Below are 8,440 nucleotides of genomic sequence, written 5' to 3'. Positions count from 1 at the left end.
TAGAATCAATAAAAATTTATTGTACATTTAAAAATAGCTAAAAGAGTATAATTGGACTATGTGTAACACAAACAAAATAACAAATGCTTGAGTTGATGGATAGAAAAACAAAAAACTCAGTCTTGAATCCACTTGTGGCATCCTCCGTCGTGGACAGCAGCCCTCCCTGCCAGTCCCCAAATGCCTGAACAGCAGCCAACATCCTTCTCTGTGGCATCCTCTTGCTTGTCAATGATTAAAAGCACACTGGGCTGGCCACCAAGGGAGTGTTGAAAGAACATGTGGAGACTCAGGCTGGCAGCTCCACCAGAGCAATGAAGCAGAGAGTCCAGTAATTGGATGCAGGAGCCAGAGACAGCTGTGTCCCTTAGCAGAATGCCTAGCCCATGAACTCCCTTCTGTGGCTGCATTCTGAAGGCCAGGTGCCAAGCTCACCATGCCGCACAGCAGTGACCAAAGAGAGAGTATGCACGAAGATGGGCAGGGCTGGACCTGACCTTCCTATGCATGTAAAACTCCCCTGCTGCCACGAGCCTGCTTTTAATTAAAAGTAACCAAGTTTGCTCCTGTTTAAGTTGACAGAAAGCCAACCCCAACAGACAATTCCCAGAAGGGAAAGTGCAAATGACACACAATTCAATGAAGAGCTGCTCAAACCCACAGGAATCAGAGAAATGCAAAGTAAAACGCAGGAATTCCCTTTACACCCATCAGATTGGTAAAAGCTAGAGGGTTGACTAATGCCAAGTGCTGGCAAGTTGGTGCAAAGCAGAGCCTTCCAGGACAGCCGTGGGAGGGAGACCTGGCACATGGCAGCCTGGGAAGCACTCAGACTGGGCTTTGTAGGGGGCTGCGACCTTGCAGTCAGGCTGAGGAATGCATGGCTGAGAGAGGCTCTCACTGTGTCTTCCCCAGAAGGGCTTGCATCGGTATCCATCAACACTGTGGAAGTTAGGAATGGAGCAGCCCAGAGTCCAGTGGTCGGCGACTGAGTTAGCAACACGTCGTGAAGCAGCAGATGGAACTGTGCAGGTGTCACCCCGCCTGCATTAGGCGTGCACTGGCGTGCCCTTAGCTGCATGGAGACAAGTAAAAGTAACACACAGCACCACCTCACACTCCTCAGGATGGCTACTGTCAACGAGGTGGAGAATAACACACAGCACCACCTCACACTCCTCAGGATGGCTACTGTCAATGAGGTGGAGAATAACACACAGCACCACCTCACACTCCTCAGGATGGCTACTGTCAATGAGGTGGAGAATAACACACAGCACCACCTCACACTCCTCAGGATGGCTACTGTCAACGAGGTGGAGAATAACAAGTGTCAGCGAGGCCATGGAGAAACTGGAACCCTTGCACACTGTGGGTGGGGATGTAAAACGGTGCGGCCCCTGTGGAAAATGGGATGGCTGTTTCTCCAAAAATTAAACATGGAATTAGCATGTCATCCAGCAATACCACTTCTGGGTCTGTCTCCAAAAGAACTAAATGCAGGGTTTCAAAGAGGTATTTGTACACTCATGTTCTCAGCTGCTTTTTTTCACACTAGCCGAAAGGTAGAAATGGACCAAACATCCATTGACAGGTGAATGAATAAACAGAGTGTGGTCCATCCACACAACGGAATATCACTCAGCCTTGGAAATAAGGAGATTCTGACACAGGTGACAACATGGATGAACTTTGAGGATGTCACGCCAAGTGAAATAAATCAGCCACAGAAAGGTGAAGGCTGTAGGGCTCAGGTTAAATGAGGTCCCTAGAATGGTCAAACCCATAGAGACAGAAAGTAGCATGGTGGTTGCCAGGGGCTGGGGGAGGAGGAAACATAGAGTTGGGGTTTAATGGGAACAGAGTTTCAGTTTGGAAAAATGACAAGTTCTGGAGATGGATGATGGTGGCAGCTGCACAACAGTTTGAATGAACTTAATGCCAGTGAACAATACACTTAGAAATGGTTAAAATGGGCTGGGTGCAGTAGCTCACACCTGTAATCCCAGCACTCTGGGAGGCTGAGGCGGGCAAATCACTTGAGGTCAGGAGTTCGAGACCAGCCTGATCAACATGGTGAAACCCCGTCTCTACTAAAAATACAAAAATTAGCCTGGTGTGGTGGTGGGTGCCTGTAATCCCAGCTACTTGGGAGGCTGAGGCAGGAGGATCATTTGAACCCAGGAGGCGGAGGCTGCAGTGAGCTGAGATTGTGCCACTGCACTCCAGCCTGGGGGACAGAGCAAGACTCCATCTCAAAAAAAAAAAAAAAAAAAAGGTCAGTTTTAGCTTATATGTATTTTACCATAATTTTTTTTTTAAACTTGATGACAACAATCAAGAACAGTGTTGAGTGAAACAGTGGGATCCGGGGCACAGTGGCATTTACAATATGAAGCGCTCACTGGAAGCCCCACACGGTGTTCTGCAAGGAGGCGCGTGCATCCTGTGCGTGCATCGAACCTGCTGAATGGGAAAGTGATCAGTGTGAGGCGGGGAGTGGAGGGCGGGGGCCGTGAGCTGAGCATAGGAGAGGAAAATGAACACGTCGTCCCCTGCACCCTTGTCCCCCACGATGAAGGAAGAACAAAGAGCCAGGCACCTGTCAGATGAGGGGAAGGACAGAATGACTCAAGGACGGGATGGACCCACTCCAGGCTGAGCCCTCCCTGCCCTGGGCAGCCCCTGCAGTCACCTTTTATCAGGATGACACGTTCACTGCCTTGTCTTGGTCACCTTTTATCAGGATCACACCTTCACTGCCTTGTCTTGGTTCTCATGAATTTTAGGTCTTCTTGGAAGCCCTGCACTTCCTAGCCAGTGCTCAGAACACACAAGTGCACAGCAGGCCTCTGTTAGCTTGGGCTGCCTGAAATCCCTTCTCCTTTTTCCTAGAAAGAGGGCAGCAGTTCTTCCTAGAGAATCAGGCTGCCCCAATCCCCACACTTATGGTTCCCATGGGGCTGACCCCTCCCTTGCAGCAGAAGTAGGCAAGTAGCCCTAGCTTGGCCCCACAGAACATCCCAGCATCCTAGGAGAGATGGTCACAGATGGGCTGGAACCAAGCCAGCCGTGGTCCAGGGCTCCAGGAGTGCACATTCTGGAATCCTGCCAAAAGCATTGGCCAGGGGAGGTGCTCTTTCTGCTGAGTCTAAGTCCAAAGGCAGGAGAAGACCTATGGTTCCACCTTGAAGACAGGCAGAGGCAAATAATTCTCTCCTCTTCAACTTTTTATTCTATTCAGGCCCCTGATGGATGAGGTGAGGCCCACCTTCTGCGGGGAGGACACTCTGCTTGCCTCGGTCTGCAGATTTGAATGCTAGTCCCATCCAGAAACATCCTCGCAAACACAGAGGCTTGACCAAATGTCTGAGCACCCCCAAGGTCCCATCAAGGCGACACATAAAATTCACCATCACGCACGGCGAGACCATCAGCCACGGGGCTGGAAAGAAATGCCCCCAGTTGGCTTGCTCTCTGCCAGAGCCAGCACCCAGCGCCACCCGTCCCTAACCTGTCCTGCGTCCTCACCCTCAGGCCCCATACCTCTCTGTGTTTCCCAGGCTCCGTGCATTCCTGCACAGACCTCTCAGACCAGTGGGGTCTTTCTCATGGCTGCCATCCGGCATCTCCGAACAATCCTGCCTTCTGTTTTATTGTTTGTTGGGTAAACGAGCTGGATTATGAACAAGCTCCCTCTTCCTGATTCTCCCACACACAACCAACCCAACCAGCCTGGCCTGTTCTGAACCCAGGCAGCTGGCACTCAACAGCGTCAGCGGGGCCCCTCCTCCCGATACGAGCCTCAGAGGCTGAAGGTCAAGAAGGCTCTGAGAAGCTGACCTCTCCCCTGTCCGAAAGCAGCCGAGCCTTCCATTCCGCTGCCCCTGTTTCTTCTTGGTGTTTGATATAGAAAAATCACTTAGGGGCCAGGCGTGGGGGCTCATGCCTATAATCCTAGCACTTTGGGAGGCCAAGGTGGGCGGATCACCTGAGGTTAGAAGTTCAAGACCAGCCTGGCCAACATGGTGAAACCCCGTCTCTATTAAAAATACAAAAATTAGCCGGGTGTGGTGGCACACATCTGTAATCTCAGCTACTCTGGAGGCTGAGGCAGGAGAATTGCTTGAACCCAGGAAGTGGAGGTTGCAGTGTGCCGAGATTACACCATTGCACTACAGCCTGGGTGACAAAAGCAAAACTCCATCTCAAAAAAAAAGGAAAAAGAAAAATCACTTAGGAAAGCCACATAGTTCACCCTCTGTGGAGCACGTTTATTCAACACACATCAGTTGTGCTGGGCACTGAGCCTGGTACTGGGGATTCAAAAATGATGAAGGCACAATCTAATTGTGGGGAGACCCCTGTCAGACGAGGCCAGCACCCAAAGTCAATGCCGTGGTGGGAGGAAACGGGAGATATGTGGAGCCCGGGGGATGAGTTTGTCATCCAGCCTCAGGAATGGGGAGGCATCACTTGGTGGAACACTGTCCTGGAAGAACCCTGAGGACTCTCCAGGGTTGGAATTGCCCGGAGAATGGGAGCAGCACTGTCAGCAGAGGGAACGCCATCAGCAAAGACAGGATGCCCCAGGGCGAATGTGGTTCCCCTGGAGCATAGAGCACAAACCATGGAGTGTCCCAAGCTCGAGGAGGAGCCCCAGAGGTGGGGCCAAGCTGACAGCCTTCCCTGACAACCCGAGGCCCATGGGGTTCCCTCTGCAGCAGAGAAGTGTCCTCGCGGGGTGGGTACGAGGCATGGTCAGAAGTGAGGCCCCAAACAGCCCTTCATTCCTGAGGACCACAGTCTGGGGCATCCCAGACTTCCCTGGAATCCACCCCCACCCCTGCTGTCTTCTCCACCTGCTCTCTGGCGCTGCTGCCATCATTTGGGAAAAAGCCATTAAATGAATGAGACCAGAAGCTGCATGTACGTTTCCTGCTGTGCCCTGGCAATGCCCTGGCTGTGCCCCAGCTATGCCCTAGCTATGCCCCAGCTGTCTCTTAGCTAACCCTAAGACACAAGGGTGCCTGGAGATGCTCCAGGCTGATCAAGTGGGGAAGAACCCACCTTCCTCAGCCACTGGATTCCAAAAGGCCCCGGAGCCACGCGTGAGACAAAGGTGGTGTGTTCCTGCTGCCAGAGTCACTCTCTCTGTCCCGCCCAGTGGTCGGAGTGAACAAAGAGGTGATTGAGGACTCTCATTCCTGTTTCCTAAGCTGCTCTCCTATTTATCTTCCTCAAGGTGCAATTGAATGAAGAGGGGGGACGGGGACGGGGCCCAGGGAGGATGATGCCATGATTACTGGGTCTCCAGCTAAATTGCAAAAATGTGCACCACTCATAATCCTCAAAATGGCCTCACCAGGCACCAAGCCCAAACTCGAGGGTGGCCTGGAAGAGGTGGGCTTTCATTTAAGAACTTCGAGTCTCTTCAATTTTCCTGAGTGTTTTTGTGGCTGAAACCCAGTGAATGATAACCTTGGCAAAATAATAATAATGATGTATGAATATTTTGTATTTTTAAATAAATCATGTCAGAGTCATATTTCCTGTTGGGGTCAGGCTGAAAGCCAGGCTTCAAGGTCACTCCAAGGTCCCTGTTACCCACAGGCAAAGTGACTTCCAGCTTCTGTCCAGTGTTCCTTCCCCTGCCCCATGGGCCTGGCACTGTTACCTAAAATCCAGCGGCCATTTCTACTCAGTCCTCTGCTGTCTCTAAGGACTTGCGTTCAGTCTAAATGTCTTTTCCATGGATGGTGTTGCCAAGCGGCTCACCTGACAGCTGAAGTCAGTTCCAACGGCAACAGAGGGAAACAGAAGTGCGTCTAGACATCATTGCATATTCTTACATACCTAGTATTTGGCTCACACCTCGGGATCTCACTGAATGCTCAACAGCTCTAGGAAAGAAATGTTATTACCCACTCCTTCATATTTTCACAGTGGAAACAGGCCAAGAGAGGGGATGTGAGTTACCCAACGTCACGCAACCAGCAAATGGCAGGGCTGAGATTTCACGGATTTTACAATTTTATTGATGTATAATTGACGTACAGTAAACTGCCCGTATTTTAAGCGTGCAATGCTGGGCCAGTCGCAGTGGCTCACGTCTGTAATCCCAGCACTTTGGGAGGCCGAGGCGGGTGGATCACCTGAGGTCAGGAGTTCGAGACCAGCCTGGCCAACATGGCAAAACCCTGTCTCTACTGAAAATACAAAATTAGCTGGGCATGGGGGCACATGACTGTGGTCCCAGCTACTTGGGAGGCTGAGACAGAGGATCCCTTGAACCCAGGGGCCGGAAGTTGCAGTGAGCCGAGATTGCACCACTACACTCCAACCTTGGTAACAGAGCAAGACTCTGTCTCAAAATAAATACATATGTACATACATACATAAATAGTGTGCAATTATGTAAGTTGTGAAGCATGTATACACCCAGGTTTTTCAGCCTCAGCCCCACTGGCATTTGGGGCTAATTGTTTTTGGGGGGCGGGGGGTGTCTTGTGGACTGCAGGATGTTTAGCCTCATCCCTGGCCTCTATACACTAGATGCCAGGGGTCTAATTAGTCTGTGAGGGGCAAAATAATCCCTGATTGAGGACCCCTTGTGTCCACCAATGAAGCCACCACCACCATCGAGTGATGAAGGACCCCTCATCCCCAATTCCTTCACGCTCCTTTGTGTTCCCACTTTCCCCAGGCAACAGCCCATCTGTTTCCTGTCACTGAGGATTCAGCTTACATTTTCTTTTCTTTCTTTCTTTCTTTCTTTCTTTTTTTTGAGACAGAGTTTCGCTCTTGTCACCCAGCCTGTAGTGCAGTGGTGTGATCTCAGCTCACTGCAACCTCCACCTCCCGGGTTCAAGCAATCCTCCTGCCTCAGCCTCCTGAGTAGCTGGGACTACAGGCACCCGCCACCACACCCGGCTTATTTTGCATGTTTAGTAGAGCCAGGGTTTCTCCATGTTGGTCAGGCTGGTCTTGAACTCCTGACCTCAGATGATCCACCCATCTCAGCCTCCCAAAGTGCTAGGATTACAGGTGTGAGCCACCGCACCTGGCCTTGGCTTACATTTTCTAGGCTTTTATATATCTGGAATCGCACAGCAGGTACCTTGGAGGGGTCTGGGCTTCACTAAGCCACATAATTTTGAGGCTGCCCCAGACGGTGCGTGTGTCCATAGCGACTCCTGTGGGGCTCTGAGTTGCCTCCTGTGGTGTGGACGCTCTGTGCTTGGCTTCACCATCCGCCTGTTGATGGATTTTAAGGTTGTTTCCAGTTTGGGGCTGTGACAAGCAAAGCTGTTACAGACATTCATGCCTGAGACCTTTTGTGAACACGAACTTTCATTCCTCCCAGGTAAGTACCTAGCAGTGGAGGGGCTGGATCGGAGGGCAGGGGTGTGTTTACCTTTTCAGGAAATGGCCACGCTGTTTTCCAAAGTGGCTCATAGCTTCTGACTCCTGGGTCAGTTCTGTAGGTTCTCGCTCACTGGCTTCTCAGATCCGGAGACAGCGGGGAGGAGGAAAAGGCAGACCAGGGTGGGTGGAATTCCCTAGTAAAATGGAGGCCAGAGAGAAATTTTGAGTCATTTAGAAAAGGCCAGGAAAAGGAGGCATGATGGGAGGGTTCAGAGACTCCACTCACTCCATAGGGGCCCTCGCAGACCTCAGCCAGGATGTGGCTGCCCAGCCAGACCCCCACACCTCACTCCACACTTCTCACCTTTCACATCCTGGATGCTAAAATCTCATTCCTGGGAACCCAGGGCTTCCCTTGGCCCCAGGATGGGTCACATTCCACAGAAATAGTAATCAGTTTCGATACCTTACATCTTTTAAACCAGGAGAGACCCTTCGCTAGAAAAAAAGTATGTCTTTTTGGGAAGCTTCCTCTTTCCCATCTGTTTTCACAGGACTGCTTCCTATGTGGATTGCTGCAGAGTCAAATTCTATTTAACTTTTTCCCCCTGGCTGTACCTGCGAATAACATATTTACATCGTAGAAATGAACCCACCGTAAACTTCCAGAAAAGCTACCATGCTAATTTATTTGCTCTCCATTCACATGGCTTCAGATCTTCACTGCCAATTCTGCTAACGTGGAAGAATTCTGAATCTGCAGGGTAGGTCTGGGAGTTCTGGAAAACTGACCCAGAATCTTGATGAAATTTTTTCCTTTCTTTAAAATCCTTTCATAAAGATTTAAAAAGTGATCCCATGACATCATATATAATCCTGAATTCTTGCATTAAGATTTCTCTTTCAAAGCTAAATATACACCTTTCAACTAGGTAAACAAATAGAGTACAAAGACTGTATTTTCTTGTTTCTAAAAGTGTGAGGATTAAATTTTAATCCATAATTTTAATGAGAAACAGATTAGCCCTGCATAATACATGAAGAATTTGTCCTGGTTAGAATATTATTTTAG

General features: G+C 50.1%; 1 long non-coding RNA gene across 3 annotated transcripts; it reads right to left on the bottom strand.

Moving 5' to 3' along the window:
- LOC124902706 (uncharacterized) lies at nt 1-3,737 on the bottom strand. 3 transcript variants are annotated; one of them, XR_007062765.1, is made up of 2 exons: nt 2,696-3,737; nt 1-1,075 (listed from the first exon to the last, which is right to left on the bottom strand). It is a non-coding gene; the product is annotated as an uncharacterized LOC124902706 (long non-coding RNA). The 3 variants fall into 3 exon arrangements; XR_007062763.1 differs by having other exon boundaries at nt 1-1,400; nt 2,696-3,728; XR_007062764.1 differs by having other exon boundaries at nt 1-1,400; nt 3,547-3,701.
- Nucleotides 3,738-8,440: the final 4,703 nt, after the last annotated feature.

This window comes from Homo sapiens, chromosome 11 (genome assembly GCF_000001405.40).
Source record: "Homo sapiens chromosome 11, GRCh38.p14 Primary Assembly".
In the NCBI taxonomy this organism is placed as follows: Eukaryota; Metazoa; Chordata; class Mammalia; order Primates; family Hominidae; genus Homo; species Homo sapiens.
The sequence above is the reverse complement of the archived record's forward strand: the minus strand, read 5'-3'. Positions and strand labels throughout refer to the sequence as shown.